This window comes from Homo sapiens, chromosome 15, assembly GCF_000001405.40.
Source record: "Homo sapiens chromosome 15, GRCh38.p14 Primary Assembly".
Lineage (NCBI taxonomy): Eukaryota > Metazoa > Chordata > Mammalia > Primates > Hominidae > Homo > Homo sapiens.
The window spans coordinates 62,153,648-62,175,704 of NC_000015.10; the positions used below are offsets into that span (position 1 = coordinate 62,153,648).

The 22,057-nt window shown below is 40.7% G+C and overlaps 1 protein-coding gene and 1 long non-coding RNA gene across 2 annotated transcripts, besides 2 other annotated features; one reads left to right on the forward strand and one right to left on the reverse strand.

The window, feature by feature from the left end:
* Nucleotides 1–9,887: 9,887 nt before the first annotated feature.
* On the reverse strand, nucleotides 9,888–11,638 carry C2CD4B (C2 calcium dependent domain containing 4B). The gene is made up of 2 exons (NM_001007595.3): nucleotides 11,548–11,638; nucleotides 9,888–11,377 (listed from the first exon to the last, which is right to left on the reverse strand). The coding sequence occupies exon 2, from the start codon at nucleotides 11,335–11,337 to the stop codon at nucleotides 10,243–10,245; it is 1,095 nt and encodes a 364-aa protein (NP_001007596.2). The 5' UTR covers nucleotides 11,338–11,377; nucleotides 11,548–11,638; the 3' UTR covers nucleotides 9,888–10,242.
* Nucleotides 11,089–11,688: an enhancer, noted in NCBI's record as "H3K27ac-H3K4me1 hESC enhancer chr15:62456935-62457534 (GRCh37/hg19 assembly coordinates)". NCBI's record gives its function as "activates a minimal SCP1, AML or CMV promoter by ChIP-STARR-seq in primed H9 embryonic stem cells {active_cell/tissue: H9 hESC(primed)}" and the evidence as "EXISTENCE:reporter gene assay evidence [ECO:0000049][PMID:30033119]".
* Nucleotides 11,689–12,288: an enhancer, noted in NCBI's record as "H3K27ac-H3K4me1 hESC enhancer chr15:62457535-62458134 (GRCh37/hg19 assembly coordinates)". NCBI's record gives its function as "activates a minimal SCP1, AML or CMV promoter by ChIP-STARR-seq in primed H9 embryonic stem cells {active_cell/tissue: H9 hESC(primed)}" and the evidence as "EXISTENCE:reporter gene assay evidence [ECO:0000049][PMID:30033119]".
* Nucleotides 11,766–12,947, forward strand: LOC124903502 (uncharacterized). Its single transcript, XR_007064669.1, has 2 exons — nucleotides 11,766–12,525; nucleotides 12,643–12,947. It is a non-coding gene; the product is annotated as an uncharacterized LOC124903502 (long non-coding RNA).
* Nucleotides 12,948–22,057: the final 9,110 nt, after the last annotated feature.

The window sequence follows — 22,057 nt, forward strand, 5'->3', positions numbered from 1 at the left end:
ACACTATATCAAATTCTCTCCTATGAGCTGTTAAAATTATGTAGGCATATAACCTAGTCATATATTTATTAATTATTCAGTAAGCCAAAACCAAGGAAGAAATATGAACTTTAATCCTGTCCTTTTCTTTTTCCCCCATATCATTGACATTAAGTCTGTTTTTTCAAATTTGTCTTTTTTTTTTTAGTTAGGAGAGTTTTGGAAATAAGGATCTCCTACAATAAATTTTACATAGAGTGGTAGAAATTTGTGACCATCTACTGTCAGTGTAGGGACTGACACCCTTTGAACATCTTCTTATGGAATACGGGTTAAGGTAGAAGAAAAATGGGGAAGGGAGTTAGAGATGATAAAACTCTAGGTTGGCCTGAGTGTCCTCTCACTTCTTGCCGACTACCTGAAGCTAGGTACAGGTGATCTTCCTCCATTTTGTCCATTTTTGATCTGATGACCAATTGCCCAACACTGATGCATTTCATGTATATTCATGGCAGGCCTACCTCCTATACATACAGCTTGGTTAGAGGGTATTAACAGGAATACATAAAGAGGTGTAAGAAATGCACCCTGATTCAAGGAGCTTACAGTTCAACTGGGACCAGAAGACCTGGGATTGATTCCCAGCTCCTTCACTTACTACCTGGGTTAGCATGAGCAGTTGATTAAAATTCATTTTCTGTAAAATAGAGCAAACAATAAAAATAGTGTCTATACCTGACAAAGGGTTGCTGCTAGGATCAAAAGGGGTATATTTTGTGGAAGCACTTTACACATAGGAAGTGATATTCAGAAAATTATTATTAATATGTACAGAAGGTGTATATACCAGTCAAAACAGCACCTCTCAGGCTGTCATCATTTTACAAGTTTGGATCTTCTAAGATGATCCTTTCAGAGACATATTTCCTGCAAGATGTGATGCGTGCAATTCAGGTTAGCTGCCGTCAGGTACACGGTCTTACCTGAAAAAGTGGTTGACATTTTGACACAGTTTGCAGGCCAACCAAATGATCTGTGTCAAAATTAACGCACCAGGCAGGAAGAATGGCAGCCTGGTCTGAGCAGCAGAAAGTGATTAACCTTGCCAAATATTTATTGAGTGACTTCTATGCATCATGCACTGCTCTGGGAATGAGAAGACAAAAGGCGTGATCCCTGCCCTCAAGGAACTTACAGTTTAGTAAGGCAAACTGACAATTACAATAGGACAGTTGTACAATAGGGTTGTATACAGTCTGATGGGCCCAAAGGGGAAGAGTCCCTGCCTTGGAGACTTGGGGTGGGAGGGACCTTTCCAGGGAGGTTGCTGTTTGAGCTGGAACCTGCAGAATAAGCAGGAGTTTTGAGGCAGATTAATTGTGGACTGACACTCCCAGAAGAAGCTTCACAAACTCCAAGCTTTTCTAGTGTGTTTTCCCCTAGATGAGCCTTTTCCAATTAGGAGAAGACTTCTTATATGAGTACCTCTACTCTTAGCTATCTGCTCTGTGTATAACATTTTTGCATCAAATACGTTTGTTGATTAGCTGTGTCTTTTAGCAGTTCTGTAAGTTTAATGGCTTGTGTGTAAATATATTTTCAATAATGTTTCATCTTATGCTCATGGTGAAAAATTCAAACAGCACAAATTTGTTTGGGATACAGTAAAGAGATATATTCATGGCACAGCAGGTGGACCTCCTCCTTGCAGCAGAGGAATACTGGAGACGGGGGATCCCAGAGGATAAGGTTGGAGGAGTTGGGCTGAAGAGAGACTAGAATGGATCTTAAATTTTAACGTTAAGAATTCTGGGTGATGTTAGATATAGAAGGATTTTGTTTGTGATAAAAGCAGAGTGTTAGGAAATTAAATCTGATGATAGTACAGTTTAAATTCATTTTTCAAAGGATAGATTATAGATAGAAAAGGGTAATGAGAAAAATATTATGGTAAAATGTTAATATTTGGAAATGGCTGAAGGATATATGGGAGTTCTAGTAACAGTTTTAGCAACTGTTCTATAAACCTGAATTACTTAAAAATAGTGACTTAAAAAAAAAAAACATAATAATAATGGTGAAGAGGGAAGCCCAGAGCAGAACAAGTAAAGGAAGAAGATGCGGTGGCTCTGATCCAGGTAGCTAGAAGGAGGTGTGGAGCACTGTATGAACAGTTCTGACAGATGAGGCACCATCTCCTGACAGACAGACAGAGACAGGGGATATCCATTCTTTTGTAAATCAGAAACTGGTCACCAATCTGCAAAATACATCCTGTTCTGTTGCCAGATAAAATAAAATATGGATTTTTCCCTATTAGGGTAAATATTAGTGTTTGGTTACATATGGATATTTTGACAAAGCCTTGTTATTCCCAAATGATGAAACCTCCTAGTGATGGCTGGATTTTAGAAGCACACATCAGCTGAACTGTTGTTTCTCTCTCTAGTACATGGCAGATGGAGTCTGAAGTGTACAACCAGTGGAATGGAAAGATGTAATTTTTTGTGTTTTTGTTATTTAGTGCACTCACCCAGACATGTTCCCAGTAGACTACCCTTTGTACAGACTGAAGACCAGAACTAGAGATGTGCATAAAGCCATGCTGCAAAATTACAATCATTTACATGAGCTAAAGAGGAGGTGTTCAAATTACATTTGAAAATGAAAAGCTGTTTACCTATTACTATGAATTTGCTATGAATAAACACAACAATCTCATTTAACCCTTCTCATCTTCATGCTCAATATTTTAGAAAAGACAAAACCTTAGTTCAAAGAAATTAAGCATTTCAAAGGCCATGCAGAGTATAGATTTGTCTTTCTGGCCTTTCTCTTTCTTTTCTTTTCCTTTTCTCTCTCTCTCTCTCTTTCCTTTTTTGTATGCAGGACGTTTATTGGGTGTTGCTCTTGGGATCAATGCCTGTGGGGAAGTGAAAGAAGCAGGATTGCTCAGAGAACAATTTCCAGAGGGGATCTGAGCATCTGAGCTACGAGCTGTCAATAGCCAAACCTCTCAGTAGCTACAGGAGTGAGTACTTCAGTCCTGGGAGGGGAGTGAGTAGATGTGGGAGGCATACCATAGTACCCACTACAGACTTAAATATTTTTTCCCATAAATATTTCTCTCTATATATATATCTAAAGGACAAAGGCATTTTTTAAAAACATATTTCTAATGCCATTACCATACCCTAATTTAGTTATCAATAATTCATTAATATCCAATCTGTATTCAGCATTCAAGTTTCCAACTGTCTGATAAATATAACTATATATTATTTATTTATTTATTTATTTATTTATTTATTTATAGTTTGCTTGATTTGGGGTTCAAGTAAGGTCCATAAATTACAATCAATTAATATATCTTTTTGTTTATTTTATTTTATCTTTAAAATGACACATAACTGTACATATTTATGGGGTACCTGGTGATGTTTTGATACATAAAATGTATAGTTATTATATCAGGTTAATTAGCATAGCCATCATCTCAAACATTTACCTAATAAGCAACCTCAACTCTTCTTTCTTACTTCCTAAAAGGAAGAAGCATTTGCCTCATCAGGAGCTGACCTCACACTCAGCTACTCAGATAGGCTCAATAATCCTAAAGCTAAAATCCTTCCTCTTGCAGGAATTGGTTCAGGATTGGGATTGCAACCCAAGCTGGCCATTAAAACACATACAGACATTCTTCCTTAGTCTTATGGGTATGCTTTTAAAAGCAAGGCCTTCTCATCAGCCTGGTCCTCAAAGAGAAATTATGGAGTAGTTCCTGGTGGTTACTGGCCAACATCCTAGGTCTCTAAGTGTGGTCTGCCTCAGGATAGAATGATCCTGTCTCACAAGGAATGCTGAAGGGAGTTCATCATACTGAAGGAAAAGGATGCTAACATGTAACAAGAAAACATCTGAAGCCACAAAAGTCACTGACAAAAGTAAGCACACAGACAAATTCAGAATACTCTCATACCGTAATCATAGTATATAAACCATGTATATCTTTAGTATGAAGATTAAAAGACAAAAACCATTAAAGATAATTATAACTACAGTAATTTATTCAGAGATCGAGAATATAAAAATTTAAATTGTGGCATCAAAAATTTTAAATGTGGGCAGGGAAAGGAGTTAAAGTGTACGGTTTTATTTGTTTCTTTTCTTTGCAATGAAAGCTAAGTTGTTACCAGTTTAAAATAATTTGTTTTAACTACAGGATGTTTTTTGTAAACCTCATGGTAGCCACAAAGCAAAATCTTATAATACATATACTAAAAATGAAAAGCAGGAAACATACTACTAGAGAAAAATCATTTCACCACAAAGGAAGACAGTAAGAGAGAAAAAAAGAAAGAAGGGATCTACAAAACAACTAGAAAACAAGTAACAAAATGGCATTAGTAAGTCCTTACCTATCAATAATAACCTTGAATGTAAATGAATTAAATTATCAAATAAAAGACATAGAATGGCTAAAAGGATTTAAAACAACAAGACCCAACTATATGCTGCTTACAAGAGACTCACTTCACCTGTAAGGACAAACTGAAAGTGAAAGACATAAAGATATTCTATGCAAACGGAAAATAACAAACAGCAGGAGTAGCTACAGTTATACCAAATAAAAGAAAGTCAAAAAGTATAAAAAAAGACAAAGAAGCCCATTATACAATGATAAAGAAGTCAATATTGTAAGAGGATATGACAATTGTAAATAAATTTATTAATATAAATATATATATGTATCCAACAACGGAGCACCTAAATATATAAAGCAAAAATTAATAGGCCTAAAATGAGACATAGGCTGAAATACAATAATAATAGGGGACTTCAACAACACATTTGTAGCATTTGACAGACCATTGAGACAAAAATCAACCAAGAAACATCACAGTTAAATGGCACTGTAGAGCAAATGGACCTAACAGGCAGTTACAGAACATTCCATCCAACAGCTGCAGAATACATATTCTTCTCAACAGCACATGGAACATCTAAGATAGATCATATATGATACCACAAAAAAAGTCTTGGTGATTTTTTAAAAATCAAAATTATATTAAGTATCTTTTCTGACCACAATGGAATAAAACTAGAAATCAACAGAAGGAACTTTGAAAACTGTACAAATACATGAAAATTAAACAACCATGCTACTGAATGACTAATGGATCAATGAAGAAATTAAAAAGAAAAATTTAAAAATTATTCTGATAAAGGGAAATGAAAACACAACTTTTCAAAACCTATACATACAACAAAAGCAGTTCTAAGAGGCAAGTTTATAGCAATAAATACCTACGTCTAAAAGGTGGAAAGATCTCAAAACAAAAAAAACTACTCTAACATTGCACCTCAAGGAACTAGAAAAATGAGAACAACCGAAATCCCAAATTAGTAGAATAAAGGAAATAATAAAAATCAGGCAGAAATAAGTGAAATAGAGACAAAAAATCAACACAAAAGATCAATAAAACAAAGAGTTGGTTTTTTGAAAAGATAAAAATTGATGAACATGTAACTAGACTAACTACTATGGTTTGAATGTGTCCCCCAAATTTCATGTGTTTGAAAATTTACCCCTAAATTCATACTTGATGGGCTATTTGGGAGGTAATTAAGATTAGACGAGGTCATCAAGGTGGGGCCCCATAATAAGATTAGTGGCTCTATAAGAAGAGAAAGAGGAACATAACCTAGTATGTTCTAGTCCTCTTGCCATGTGATACCCTCCACCATGTTATGATGCAACAAGAAAACCCTAATCAGATAGAGCTACTTGATCTTGAACTTCTTGGCTTCCAGAAATGTCAGAAATAAATTTCTTTTGTAAATAAATTAACTAGCATGTGGTTTTCTGTTATAGCAATAAAAAATGGACTAAGATACTATGAAAAAAAAAGATACATGACTCAAATAAATAAAATCAGAGATAAAAAAAGAAGACATTACAACTCATACCACAGAAACACAAAGGATCATAAGAGACTATTATGAATGACTATATGTTAATGGATTGGAAGACCTAGAAGAAATGAATTAACTCCTGGACACATGCAACCTACTAAGACTGAATCATGAAGAAATAGAAAACCTAATCAGACCAATGATGAGTAATAAGATTGAATCAGTAATAAAATGTCTCCCATCAAAAAAAAAGCTGAGGACCTAATGGATTCACTGCTGAATTTTACCAAACATTTAAAGAAGAACTAACCATTTCTTCTCAAGCTATTCTCAAAAAATGGAAGGGGAGGGAATTCTTCCAAACTCATTCTTTGAGGCCAGAATTACCCTGACATCAAAATTAGAAAAAAAATACAACAAAAAAGAAAACTATAGGCCAATATCCCTGAAGAACACAAATACAAAAGTCTTCAACAAATTACTGGTAAACTGAATTCAACAGCATAGTGAAAAGATCCTTCACCATGATACAGTGGGATTCATCCCAGAGACACAAGGACAGTTCAACATATACAAATCAATAAACAAGTAAACTATCCCTTTTTTGATAGCTACAAAAAATAAAATTAAAAAACTCTGAATAATTTTTTTATTTCAATAGGTTTCTGGGGAACAGGTGGTGTTTCCTTACATGAATAAATTATTTAGTGGTGATTTGTAAGATTTTGGTGCACCCATCACCCGAGCAGTATACACTGTACCCAATGTGTAGTCTTTTATTCCTCACCCAGCTCCGAGTCCCCCAAAGTCCATTGTATCATTTTTACGTCTTTGCGTCCTCATAGCTTAGCTCCCACTTATGAGTGAGAACTTATATGATGCTTGAAAACCTCAGAATAAATTCAACCAAGGAGGTAAAAGATCTCCACAATGAAAACTATAAAACATTGATGAAAGAAATTGAAAAGGACACAAAGAAATGAAAACATATCCTGTGTTCATGGATTGGAAGAATTAATATTGTTAAAATGCCCACACTGTCCAAAGCAATCTACAGATTCAATGCAATCCCTATCAAGATACCAATGACATTCTCCACAGAAATGGAAAAAAAATCCTTATATTTGTGTAGAGCCGCAGAAGACCCTGAATAGCCAGAGCAATTTTGAGGCAACAGGATAAAGCTGAAGGAATCACACTACATGACTTCAAAATACACTACAAAGTTTTAACAACCGAAACATCATAGTATTGGCATAAAAACCCGACACATAGACCAATGGAGCAGAACAGGCAATCGATAAATAGATCCAAACATTTACAACTGATTTTCAATGAAGGTGCCAAGAAGACACATTGGGAAAGGACAGTGTCTTTAATAAATGATGCTAGGAAAACTGGATATGAACATGCAGAAGAATGAAGCTAGACCCCTATCTTTCACCACATACAAAAATTAAACTCAAAATGGATTACTAACTTAAATGTAAGATCTCAAACTGTGAAACTACAAGAAGAAAACATAAGGGAAAAACTTCATGACATTGGTCTGGGCAAGAATTATTTAGATAGGACCTCAAAAACCTAGGCAACAAAAGAAAAGATAGACAAATGAAATTACATCACACTAAAAAGCTTCTGCACAGCAAAGGAAACAATCAACAGAATGAAGAGACAACCTACAGAATGGGAGAAAATTTTGAAAGCTATGCATCAGGCAAGGGGTTAATATCCAGAATACATAATAAATTCAGACAACTCAATAGCAAACAAACAAATTTAAAAATCCAAATAATCTGATTTTAAAATGGGTAAAAGAAGACATACAAACAGCCAACAGGTAGATAAAAAAGTGCTCAGCATTACTAATCAGGAAAGTGAAAATTGAAATCACAATAAAGTACCACCTCACCTCAGCTAATGTGGCTTTCATCAAAAAGACAAAAACAAAAAACAAATCCTAGCAACAATGTAGAGAGGGCAGAACTCTTAAACACTGTTGGTGGGAATGTAAATTAATACACCCATTATGAAGATGACAAACATTTTTCAAAAATTTGAAAATAGAACTACCATAGGCTCCAGCAATTTCACTAGTGGGTATATATTCAAAGGAAAGGAAATCAGTATGCTGAAAAGATATCTTTACTCTTATCTTAATTGGTGCACTATTCACACTAGCTAAGATATGGAATCAACTTGTGTCTATCAAGGAATGAATGGATCAAATAATTTAGTATTTATACACAATGGATTACTATTCAGCCATAAAAAATGAAATCCTATCATTTGCAACAAGGTGGATGAACCTAGTGAAAATGATGTTAAATGAAATAAGCCCAGCACAGGAGAAATACTGTATGCTACTTCTAGTCAGCCATCTTGCTGATGTCACTCTCAGATTTCAGTGATCTTAACATTATATTTTTATATTTATATAAATATATAAATTTATATAAATATATAATCAGTCACAAGCAAATGTATTTCATCAAGTGCTCATTCCAGATTCTTTACCTATTTTAAGAAGTCAATGTTTTACATGAAGTTTCATTTTTGTTAAATTGAGCCCTCTGAAAAGGAATAAGCCTTTATGTATATGTCATCTTCATTATGTTCTCTGAAGTCTACAGAATGAAGCTAATTCCATTTCTACTAAATAAATAAATGAATACATAGGTTGAACAGCCTCTTCTTGGAATACTTCCCTCCAACACACTGGCCTCACCTCCTCTGACCCACAGGGGTGGGTCAGTCTTCTGGAGAAGTCAGAACACTTGGTTCTTGTTTGAATTCAGCTATGCACATTAGCTGTATAGCTTTGGGCAAGTCATCTCTGTGATGTTTTCTCAATATCAAAAGTAGTTTGATGAGATTATTTTTAAAGGCTAATTTGTTCACTTTGAAATAATATTTCAAATCCAGGATTTTTATTTAGTCTGATCAAATTTGTACCCAGACTTCATTATTATAACAACAATGCAGAAGGAATTTCTGATGTAGAATGACGGCAAACTGTTGCTTATGGGGAAATTTACCATGGGGATACTGAAGGGTTCTACATTCCCACTCCTGGCTCTTCTAAGTCCTCAGTCACAGGTAGCCCTACCTTTTCCAAGCTCCACTCCAGGAGCAGGGAGAAACAACTGGAAAGAAAGAAGACCTGAAGGAGTTCATTCTCTGCAACATTATTGAGCACTATTCAACAGTACAGTGCAAGCATTTCAGGTTTGCTCTCATATTTCACATGTATTCAAGGGTTATTTGGATATTAAGGTATATCTTCACAAAACCCTGTGAGGTAGATATTACTCCCTTTTCACTGATGGAGAAAATGAGGCTCAGGGAGAGTAACTGATTTGCCCTAGTCCAGAAAAGTGGCAGAAAAAAAATTGAACTCTCTATTTGTCTCCAACTCCATTGTGCTTTCCACTACATGGTGGATTCCCGTGGCCCAGGGCAAATTCTCTTGGGTATAATCAGTTTCCAGTGGACTTAGGTTTATTTGTTGAATTAACAAATGAAAATCAATTGGATTTTTAAAAACACTCTCTAGAACCCAGTGTTCAAGAAACTGACTACTTACTTTTTAACTCATCTAGGAAATCCTACCGCAAAGCTAATTAGTGTGTAATTAGATACATAGCTAGGTGAGAAAATGCCACAAAAAGTATCATCTTGTTTACAGAGGCAAGAAAGATTTCTAAGATTTCCTAGGTAAGGAAGAGAGAGACCCCAGGAATAGCTATTCCCTAGATAACCCATCTATTGGAAGGTCCTCCACTTCCCTGTTTTCCTCACCAATTTTTGAAAAACTCACTTCCAAAAGAAAACTTTCTACAAAAAAATTTTCTTCCCACCAGGGTATATACATCCTTATAATACAAGTGTCTCACTCTGATGTGTGCGCGTGCGCAAACACAAATTAGGATATTACCTATGCCGCATCAATATGTAAAGCTGTGTATATGAATCGTAACGTTGGGCATGACTCTGAATGAATAACTTGCTTTATTAAAAAAAAACTGTAACATTGATAGAAAACCGGAAGGAATTAAAAACAATGCAGATGGGTGTACTTCCTTTCTCTCCCAGTCCCAAGCCAACCCATTTTTCCTTGGAATGCAAAAATGGTCTGGAAAGAGATATGGGGGTCCTGTGAACAGAACAGGGAGTCATTATCTTTTTCTTCTTTACCAATAGACGATGACAAATGTGGATGGTGAGGAAGTAAAACGTCAATAAAGCAGTATCATAAATAAAAAAATAAATAACGTTTATTCTGTACCACGCGGCTGTCAGTGTCCGGAGTCTCCAGGGCAGAGCGCCCCGGGGAGGGCTGGGCCCTCAGAGCAGCAGGAGGGCGCCCAGGGACAGCTCACCCTGGCCCAGCAGGCGGCCCCGATCCCGGCCGCGACCCTCATCCCGGGCCTTGACGCGAACGGCCAGGCGGCGCACCTCGTCTTCCGAGAGGCCGTCGAAGCAAAAGTCCTGGTCAAAGGAGGCCTTGCGGCTGCGCCCCACCACAGCGCTGCATTGCCAACGCGCAGTGCCCGGCGGCCGCAGGACGAGGCTGAGGCGGCAGCGGACGGCGCGGGGCCCGGGGGCGCCTCCGAACAGGCTCTCCGCGCGGAGCAGCCGGAGGCGGAGACGCCGGGTTCCCGGACAGTACTCAGCAGCCAGGCGCAGGGCGTCGCCGGCGCGGCCCAGAGCCACGGTGCCCTTGGCCTCCAGGCGCTCAGGAAGCGGGGCCCTGGATGACAGCGGGCTCGAGGAGGGGGCCCGGGCCGGGGACTCGGATCCCGCGCGGCGCTCCTCGTCCTCGTTCCCGCTGGAGACGGAGCGGACGCGGGCCAGGCGGCGACTCCTTCCAGCCCGCAGCGCGCGACTCAGCAGCCCGTCGGGGACGCGCAGGAGGCGGCAGCGGCGGGGCCCCGCAGCGAGCGCGTCCTGGGGCAGGCGGGGACCGCCGGGGGCCGCGGGGGTGGCCGGGCCCGGACCTCGCGGGCCGCACAGGGTCCCCAGGGGGGCGTCCGGGCCTCCGCCGCCGCCGCAGCTGTGGGCCCGGGGCCGGGGCGCGGGCGGGCCCCCGAGCAGGAGCGACTCCTTGCGGCGCGTGTGCGGGCTCTCGAGCAGCGCGCAGAAGCCGTAGGTGGTGCGCACACGGGGCAGGTGCGGCAGTGACAGCGCTGCCTGCGAGCGCGGGTCCCAGTCCGTGCGGCCGGCGTCCTCGTCTGCCGCGCGGGGCCACAGGTCGCTTTCAGCGGCGCAGCGCCGGGGCACGGCGGCGGCCCGGATTGGAGACTCGAGCGTGCAAGGGGCCGGCAGCCGCGGCGGGATGCAGAATTCGGGGATGCGATTCGGCGTGAGCACTTTGGCGAAGGCGGGCTTCGGCGCGGAGCTGCCTGCGGCCGAGGAACAGAGTTTCTCGAGGAGCCGCATCCTTGGAGGCTGGGGCTAGGAGTGGCGGGAAGAGGTGCGCCTGCGGGGGAGAGAAGCTGCTGAGTTTGGGCGCCTGGAGCTGCTGCAGCCCCTCGACGCGGCTGGATCCCTCCCCCAGACCCTGTAAACGTCCCCCACGTGTTTAAGACCCCAGACCAGTTCCAGCCTTCCTCTCCCCTGCACCCACAACAAATCAGCCCCGCTTCAGACCTTTCTCTCTTCTTCAGTGTCTCTGGATCTGGTTGCAAGCTCAGTGCCAGTGGCCTCTAGCCCGCTGCCGAGGCGCCACCTTCAGTACTGCGGCCAGGAGAGTGGCGCTCCCCTCTTATACCGTAGGCTGAGTCCCGCCCAGCCGCCAGCGGCCCAACCCGGAGGTGCTGCACAGCCCGCCTTCCCGCCACCCTCTCCCACGACGCCGGGAGGTCTGCATGCACTGGGCGCTCAGGTCTGCGCGAAGCTGTCGCGGGAGCAGGCACCTTGTGGTCAGCTCTGGGACCCGCATTTGCAGTGAGTGCGTGGAGCCCCAGGCAAGGCCTGGGAAAGGTTGCAGGTGAAGAGAGGGCACCCTGTCGTCCTGCCAAGGAAAAATTGGCGGCTGAAAATGTTTCTGGCTTCTTGGAGAAGGTGAGGCTGGACGAGGAAACAGGAAGTTAATTTGGCTAGGAGATAAACCGTCACTCACCCTGCATGTAACCTGGACGTGACCTGCACGTCCTGGGAGCTTCTGTTTTCCTGTCCCCACGCACTCGCAGCGTGCAGACCAATATGGTTTCCAGTTATTTATATACTTATTTACTGTCTGTCTCCCTCTGCTAGACTGTGCTCTTTTTGATAGCATAGGCCCTGGCTCAGTCCATGCCCTAAGTACTGGTGAAGTGGGTAAATTAATCGTTGAGAAAATTTCTGATCGCTTCTTGGTCTTTTGGCTAAGATCAAGTGGAGAAAGCCTCTGAATGGCTGCAGGCTCTGCCTGTCATCTTGATAGTTACAAAACATGGGGCTTCTGGCTCCTGCCCTAAAATAACACTTGACGTTTTTAAAACTACCCCTTTTTTTTTGCTCTAGCACGGAGGTATCCAGTTAGAAAGCACCTTCCCGAAATATAGATTCCTTCTTTCCACCCCCGACCTTCATTTTCTGAGATGTGAAGACTGAAATCCCAGAGGGACCTGAGGAAATTCCAGAAAGGTTAAAAAGAGCCAGTTAATGGCAGAAGCTGGAACTAGCAATTTCCTGTTTCTTTGGCTTTGCATGTGATGCTTCCTGTGATCTGAAATGCCTTTTCTCTGCTTTTTCTTTATATAGGAATTCCTGTTTATTTTCTGTAATTCAGCCCACGCATCGTCCCTTTCAGGTGCCTTCACCCACCCAGCCGCCGCGGAACTCCCCTGCTCCAGTTCCTCAGTCCCTCCTCATTTCCTTCCTACATCTAGGGGCCACCATTGTTGCGGTTCGCATGCTGCTTTGGAATTTTCGGTTTACAGTTTTGTCTCCCCCTAATAGCCTTGTGGGTTTTCAGTGGGCAAGGACTGGGGCAGCTCAACCAGAAGGGGATTTCGGGAGTCTATTATGAATAAATGAAAAATAAAAGTCCTAAGATCAAGAACTGGGATTGCCTCCATCCCGGTTGCCTTATCCAGGCTACAAGCCTGGCTGTCTTATTCGTCTCTACGTAATTCTAGCACCCAGGATACAATGCCAGGCAAATAGTAAGGGCTTAGTAAATATTTGATGAATTGTATTGAATTGATACTGATCTGCAGGTCTTATGACTGTCAGGTGCTATCAACCACATATCTCTCTACGTAATTTGATTTCTTTCTCACAGAAAACCAATAAGGAAGACATTTTTTCTGTTTCCCAGATGAGAAACTGAGGGACTTGTCTAGGGTCATTCAAGCTATGATCATAGCGTACATAGAGCCTAAGTCCTAGCTTTTTGGCTAATTTCTTCTAATTCATTCCGTCTTTCCTTTCTTCCTTTTTTCTGTTCTTCCATCCTTCCTCCATCTATTCACTCAGTTCAATATAATGCAGAGTCTACTGTGTGATTTGTATCGCCCTTTACACCCAGAATGTTAATTCTTACAGCATCTCAGTCTACTGTTAAGTAGTATTTTCCACTATACTTGCTTTGGAATAAGCCCCACTATTTTTAAATCCTTAAAGGTGAAAAGAGTAAGTGTTTCTCTGGGCTAATAATACTTTACTGCTTAATTGACCCACAGGTTCCGCATCCCCCAATTCAACCAACCACGGATGGAAAATATTTGGAAAAAATAATAATACAAAAGAAATGAAGCAATAAAATAACTATTCACATAGCATTTACATTGTAGTAGGTGTTAGAAGTAATCTAGAGATGACTTAAAGTATATGAGAGGATATTCATAGGTTACGTGCAAATACTATGCCTTTTTATATAAGGAAATTGAACATCTGAGGATTTTGGTATCTTGAGGGACCTTGGAACCAATCCCCCTCAGACACTGAGGGACACTTGTATGCTTTTTTAATGGGGCAAGTATCGATCAATATGCAGCCACTGGGGCCAGGGAGCAGTAGCCATTCCTGCTAAAGCCAGATTTTCAGGCACAAACATCCCGAGGGGTGTCTGACAGGATCATTTCCCTGTGATTCTTCAGGCCAATGTGCTGATTCATGGGCAAACGGTCTCTCTAAAGTGGAGCACACCTGCATTATGTCCTGCAGTAGATGCAGCTCGTTTCAAATGAAACCTCAGTGAAAATGGCCTTGGTGACAATGAACACTCAGACATCATATCGGTGGGTGAAAGATGCTGAAAGCAGGACATGGGATTTGAGTGATTGCACTCCCAGCACGTCCATGTTTACAGAGCAACGCAAACGTGGCTATTAACACAATCCCTATCTAGAGGGTTTTCCAGAACTGTTATCTTCCCATGAATCAATATTCTATAGAAGAGAAAGTAAGATACAGGGAAATTAAATTACTTACCCAGGGATCCTTTTCAGATAGTCACTTATTCAACCACAGCTATAGGCTGGAACCCACAGTTGGAGGCCTGGCTTCCTTCCATATTCTTAAATCACACTGGGAGAAAATAAAAAACAGCTCCTCAGTGGAAACTTCGATCGCTCCAGTTGTTTCAGTTTTGTGCCTAATAACCACATAAAGGCCACTATCATCTTGTATTCAAACCTTGAAATTGTTATTTTAAAGAAATGATCTCTTTAATAACAATAATGTTTACTGACTATGTAGTAGGTGGAAGTCATGTTAAATGCTTCATATACTTTATCTTATCTAATCAACCCTATAAAGAAGGTAGAGATGCAGAAACAGGCTCACAAAGGGAAAAAAACAGAATAAAACTTCTCATAAATCTCACATACAGTAAAAGCAGGGCTGGAACTCAAATCCAGATCCATCTGGCTCATGGTCCTGTGTGCTTATAACCCCTTCCCTACAGTGCCTCTCTCAAAGCCATTTCTCCTGAACCCAGCTCCTCTCTAGGTAGCTAGATAATAGAGAAAGAGACCCTTGTTCCAAGGCCTTGAATTGAAACTTACACACCTTATTGATTATACCAGTACCTCATATATTAAAGCATGACATTGTCATAAGCAGGAAAGCATGCGTTATGCACAGTAGTGCTGTGCCATTTGTAGACAGAATCCTTGTCCCCCCAGGAAGTATAGTCGTTCTCTTTATGTTATACCTACTTCCAAAAAAAGGATTGGGGTTGTTTACATAACAAGGACCCAGGGAATTTATCAGCTGCTGGAAACTGATATGATGAAAATGGAAAAGACATGCAATTAACTGAATGACAAACCTTGAATGAGGTCACAAATTGACATATGTCAACACCTATGCCCCGAGGGTGGGAAGGGTAAGGTGTAAAGGCAGTTAAAGAGTCTCTAGTGGAAAGGCTTGGAACGGTGAGAAGTTCTAAAGGAGCCTCATGGTCCACTAGCCTTGGAAGGCCATGGAAGAACCAGTCTGAATGTTTAGCAGTGTGGGAATGGCTGTGTCCCTTTACGGAACAAAACACAGTCATGGGAAATCATTATCTAGAAGACTGTAGCAACAGTCTGCATTCTGTTCATGAGATTCACTTATGTTACATGTATAGCGCTAGTTCATTCGCTTTCACTGACTTACAGTATTCCATCATTTAATGTACTCTGTTTTCTCGCTGACAGATATTTTGATTGTTTCTGATTCTTCCAATGCTGGTATGATCATTTGTGTACCTGTCTTCTTAATCATCTATGCAAAAGTTATCTAGAGTACATCTCTAGGAATATAATAGCTGGTAATAGGATATTTGCATCTTCAATTTTAATGCAAAATCAGTTTCCTCGTCATCAATATATAAGATTTCCTATGGCTTCACATCCTCAACTATACTATTATTATCAGAGAGTTATGGACTGAATGTGTATGTCTCCACCACCAAATTCCTATGTTGAAATCCTAACCCCCAATGTGACAGTATTAAGAAATGGGTGAGGTGATTAGGTTATGAGCCCTGATGAATGGGATTAGAGCCTTTATAAAAGAGTCCTCAAAGAGCCCTCACACCTTTCCACCATGTGAGGACACAGCTAGAGGGGAACCCTCACCAGACACTGAATCTGCCAATGCCTTGATCTTGTACTTTCTATCCCCAAAACTGTGAGAAATAGATGTTGTTGAAACCGTCCATCTGAGTAGCTAGGACCACAGATACTTGCCACCAGGCCTGGCTAATTTTTGTATTTTTTGTAGAGTCAGGGTTTCACCATGTTGCCCAGGCTGGTCTGGTACTCCTGAGCTCAAGCAATCCACCCACCTCGGCCTCCCAAAGTATTGGGATTAGAGGTGTGAGCCACTGCACGCAGCCCAGATGTTTAGTAAATACCGCTACTATGGTGAGTGTTACGTGTTGAACTGTGTCCCCACCTATTCATATGTTGAAGTCCTGAACTGAAGTACCTCAGGATGTAACCATATTTGGAGATCAGGTCTTTAAAGAGGTATTTAAGGTTAAATGAAATCATTAGGGTGGGCCATGTAACTGTCTGTGTCTTGCTTTTTGTATTTTTATGAAGTCTTTGGAGAAATAAAAGTTTTTAATTTTAATGTAATCAGATGTCTCAATCTTTTCCTTTGTAATTTTGCTTAAAAAATAATCTTTTCCCCTGAAATAATAAAGATTTTTTTTCTGTGTAGTAATAAAGGTATTTTTTCTATACAGACAGTTCCTGATCTATGATGGTTCTGCTCAACGATCTTTTGATTTTATGATGGTACAAAAGTAATATGCATCCAGTGGAAACCATAATTCAAGTACCCATATGACCATTCTGTCTTTCACTTTCAGTATAATATTCAATAAATTACATGAAATATTCAACACATTATTACAAAATAGGCTTTGTGTTAGATGACTTTGCCCAACTTCAGGCTAATGTGTATGTTCTGAGCATGTTTAAGGTAGGCTAGGCTGGGCTATGATGTTTGGTAGGTTAGGTTACTAAATGCATTTTGGACTTACAATATTTTCAACTTAGGATGGGTTTATTGGGATGTAACCCTATCACGAATTGAGGAGCACTGGTATTCTGATATTTTGAAAGTTTTGCTTTTTTTACATTTAGATCTTTAAACCACTACTGGAGAGAATTTTCAGTGTTCTCTAAAGATGAAAAGAGCTTCTGTAAGAGGTGGTATGCTCATTTTGGGAGGTGTTCAAGTAGTCTGGACAATCATGAGGTAGGGATGTTATTAAAAAAATTCAAAAACCATATGGATATATAGACTCTAGTCTATTTGGTCATGGATTTGAGTACAATAGATGGTGTTGCTAGAAAATAGTCCAATATTTCAAATATTAATCAGAATACTTAATTTTCCTATCTTGGCTACACTTGGCTTGCTGATTCATATTTAAAAGGCAGAACTAACTCTAAGTCATTTAAGTTTACGTACATACCAACGATGTTGTAAACTGACAAACCGCCACCTTTGGTAATTGCGAAGAATTAAACAAACTATAGCTTCCTGCCTTGCAACATGACTGTTCTCATTTCATGGTGGAGTCTGGGGACTAAATGTTGCTCTTATTTTTCATATTTGTCACAGAAAACACAGGCTGCCTAGGTTCCTGTTCCAGCTCCACCCCTATCTAGCTATGTGAGCTTCATCAAGTTCCTTAGTTTTTGGGTTTTTTGTTTTTTGGGGGGTTTTTTGTTTGTTCTTTTTTTTTTTTTTTTTTTTTTGAGATAGAGTCTCCCTTTTGTCACCCAGGCTGGAGTGCGGCTGCATGATCTCAGCTCACTGCAACCTCCACCTCCCAGGCTCAAGCAATTCTTCTGTCTGCCTCAGCCTCCTGAGTAGCCGGGATTACAGGTGCCCGCCACCACTCCCGCTAATGTTTTTTGTATTTTTAGTAGAGACAGGGTTTCACCATGTTGTCCAAACTGGTCTCGAACTCCTGACCTCCAGTGATCTGACCATCTCAGCCTCCCAAAGTGCTGAGATTACAGGTATGAGCCACCGTGTCCGGCCAGTTCCTTAGTTTTTTAAGCCTACGTTTTTCATCTATAGAATGAGGTTAATAATTATAACTATATCCTAGGCTTATGGTCATTAGTAACCCATTTAAAGTCATTGTGATATAGTGTCTGGGATTTGCTTAGTAAACCTTATCGATTTTTTAGTAGTAGTAACAAAGGAAATAGTGTGTCACAACTATACTCATTATTATATCAGATTAAATTTTTAGGACACAGATGAGAATTTGAAAAAGAACTAAGGAAAGAAAGACAACTAACCTTAATGGGCACCTATTCTAAGTTAAGCCTTTTACAAACAAGTAAGTTTTACTAAAGTAAGTTTTACTAAAGTTACTTGGCCTATAACCACAGAGCTGGGATATAACGCCATTATCTTACGCAAAAGTCTAAACCGTTCATGATCTTAACACTGCTTTTCAGATGTTACCTGCAGTTCAAACAAGTTGCCAGGCCCATTCCTCAAAGCTCATTCTGCTTACCTCATTATTTTTGAGAAGTCAGTATAGAACTTCCTCAGAGCGGCTTCCTGACTTTGTGCAACTCTTTGCCAGGCCAAGGGAGTTCAGAGCTGGGAAAAGCACATTGTCCTGCATCTTAGGATGCTTAGGGCCCCCGTCCTGGCCCCACCGTTTACCAGCTGGGCCTGGTAAGCCACTTAACCTTCCCAGATCTTGGTTTCCTCCACATGAAACGAGACACTGAATAGTACCTGGTAATCTTCAAATTTCTTTCTAGAGCTTCTTTCTCTGTGCAGAGGTTTTTAATGAACTCCCTCCTGGACCCATGCCTATGAAGATTTCCCAGGTCCCTGAACCCTGTGAGCTTTTCTTTCAGCTTCAGTAATTTCCCTGAGCTAGAAACAGACTTCTCAGCAACTAAATCTTGTTCATGGTACTCAACTATTAGAGCTACAATAATGCTTGTCACCAAGAGGATCTAAATAAACAGTCTGCCTAAGCATTTAGAAGTTGGCTACCTTGGGAATAGCGCCTGGGTCAATTTCTGAACTAGAAGACAGAACACCAAGTCTATTTCTGGTTTCACTAGTTAAACGTTTTGTGATAATGGCTGTATTCATTTCCTAGGGCTGCCGCAGCAGAATACCACAAACCAAACAGCTTCCAATAACAGATCTTTATGTTCTCACCACTGTGGAGCCAGGACTCCAAAACGAAGGTGTCGGCAAGGCCATGCCCACCTTGAAACCTGTAGGGGAGCATCCTTTCTCGCCTCTTTCTAGCTTCTGGTGGTTTGCTAGCAATCCTGGGCGTTTCCTGGCTCACAGCTGCAGGATTTCAAACTCTGCCTCCATTGTCGCATGATGTTCTCCCCTCCTATATCTGTATCTCTGGATCTCTTCTTTTAAGGACATGAGTTATATTGGATTAAAGGCCCACCCTACTTCAGTATGACCTCATCTTAACTTATAACCTCTGCAAAGACCGTTTCCAAATAACATCACATCTTCTGGCACTGAGGATTATGTCTTCAACATGTCATTTGGAGAGACACAATGCAACTCGTAACAATGGCTCAATCACATCTTCTCTGCTCCCTCTTTCAACAATGGCTTCCCCACCCAACTTAATATAGGGTGGACAGGGGCAACTTCAGGACCTAAACCAGGGAAAAAGATAGGAGCCTTCATAAAAATGGAACCATCTATCCCCAGCACAGGAACCAGAGGGCACTTCTCTACCTCTGCTTTTGAAATAAAGAATATTATCATTGTTTCCTCCCCTGAGGAAATAGAAGAGTAGCCAGCTCAGCTAGGGCTGTCACCTTCCTGAGGTTGCTCCACACTGGCTGACAGCCAACAGCTGCTGCTTAAAAAATAAAATACCCTCATCATAAATAAGGAAATTACTGAATAAGGCTGGAATTTCAAGAGAGGAAATAGGTTGTACTCATTTTCCTGCTCCATAAGAAAGAGGACACGTGTGACTTCAGGGAGAGGCTGTGGACCAAGTGCGTCAGTACTGAGAGTGGTAGTGAGGGTCCCAGGCTGGTGCAGCATGAAGAGTACCACAAGAAATGCCCACCTGTGAGACCGCTGAGGCCGGGCAGCGCCTATCCACCTCCCCACCCACTTTTTCTCAGATCACAGGCCTGGGATCTTGGTACAGTCCAAATGGTGGGGAAAGAGCATGGAGAATAACAAATACAGAACACTTCTTGTTGACTTCTTCAGGTGAGAGCTCCAGGCGAGATTTGATTTAAATTAGAAAGAAAATGTTACATTAGTAGCAACACCAGTATTATGGAGAAATCTGTAAAACTATTGAACTTAGAACTAAGTATTATTTAACTTGCACAGTCTCTGTAAGACATATCATGCACTTAAACTCTTGTCAGACCAGTAAAGTAAAGTTTATTTTAGTGCTTGTCACGGATTGGATTCCCTGGGAAGCAGATGCTGTGTTGGAGATGTGCACATCACAATGTTATTGCAGGAGCATGTTCTTGGGAATACAAATGTGGGGGAGTGAAGAGAAGAAAGCAGGATGAAGCAGAAGGAAAAGAGGAGCTGCAATCCAGTGCCCAAAGAGCTGTAGAACTGAGATCACTCTGAAGAACTGTCCCAAACTGGAAGAAGAGGGGCAAGTAATTATAATACCCTATTGATAATCATTGGATGAGAGCTTCCCTGGGGAAGGAGGCATTACTTTGTTCATGGTGGGTCCCTTAAGCTAACGCAGTTTCATCACAACGATGCTCTCAATCTGGAGTACACACATCAAGAGATGGGCAGACCCTTCAGGAGAGGTTTAATGCATCCAGTACACATCGTGGTCGCTCCGCACATGCTGGTACCCCCTGCTCCATTAGCAGAAATTGCTAATTCTGAAGGTCTCCCCATTTAATGTAATCCACCTCTCCCTCATTTAATCACAAATACATTCACGCCCTTCCCAGCAGGAGACAACTGAATATCACGTTGTGGGCTGTTCTTCAGGTACGTTCAGGTGATATCCATTCCTCTTCTAGGTGCAGGTTCTCAAGGTCTACTAGCCTGTGGGCAATGGGAGATTGGTTAAACGAATTGAGACACACTCATATGGTAGATCATTAAAACTAAAGTTGTAGAAGATAATCATTATAAGAGAAAAAGCTTCTGGGATGTTGTTAAGGGGAAGAAGATAATAAAACAATGTATACCATATAATTCCACTTCTGGGGAAAAAACATACATATGAGAAAAATCTGTAAGAAGGTACATTAAAATCCAGTAGTTACTTCTGGGGTGGTAGGATTATTGGTTATTCTACTCTTTCTCCTTTTCTTTAAATATGTTTTCTAGATCAGACAAAAATAATGTTACTTTTGAAATACTGAAAATATTATTTTTCCTCTAAAAATTATAGATGTCTTATGAGGAGTATGTTTGTGGCTACATTAGTCAATTAATGATTGCTTGACCACTAGTTGGAGAAATCAGGAATGAGACTTTAAGTGGAGCTCGTATGTTAACAGTGGCGGCTTCAGAGCCTGGAAGATTTAGGAAAGGACTAGTCTGGGTAAAAGGAGAAGGTTTAGACCTATGCTGTTCAAGACAGAGGCCACTAGCCACATGTGACCACTGAGCACTTGAAATATGGCTAGTTCAAATTGAGATGTGCTTTAAGTGTAAAAAAAAAATAAGATTTCAAAGATTTAGTATTAAAAATATTTTAAAATCCTCAAAAATTTTTAATATTACATCTTGAAATAATTATATTTTGTATATATTGGGTAAATAAAATATAATATTAAAAATGATTCACATCTTTGTTTTGTACCGTGCTGATTTAGATACTTGTCAGGAAATGTAAGTTCTCTGAAACACCCCCCAAAGGGAAAAGAATATGAAAAAGCATTTGCCTCACAGGAAACCTGCCAACCTTTCTGTTTTACTTGGTGCTTTAGTAGGACAACCACTGGAAAGGGCAGTTTGTTGTCAAATGAGCATGTCAAATGAACTCCAACCACTGCAAGGCAAAATGAAACCCACGCTACCTAAAAGGTGTAGATATCAGTCCATGTAATTGAAATCTGTCGACTTGGGGGTAAGTTAAAGAAACACCGTGTTGTTGTAGAAGGCCATTGACATCTTCTCCTGGTAAAACCCCCAGAGGGTGCTGTCTTAAGGTGTTGGACAGAAACTGCCCCATGGCATCTACACACTGGATGTT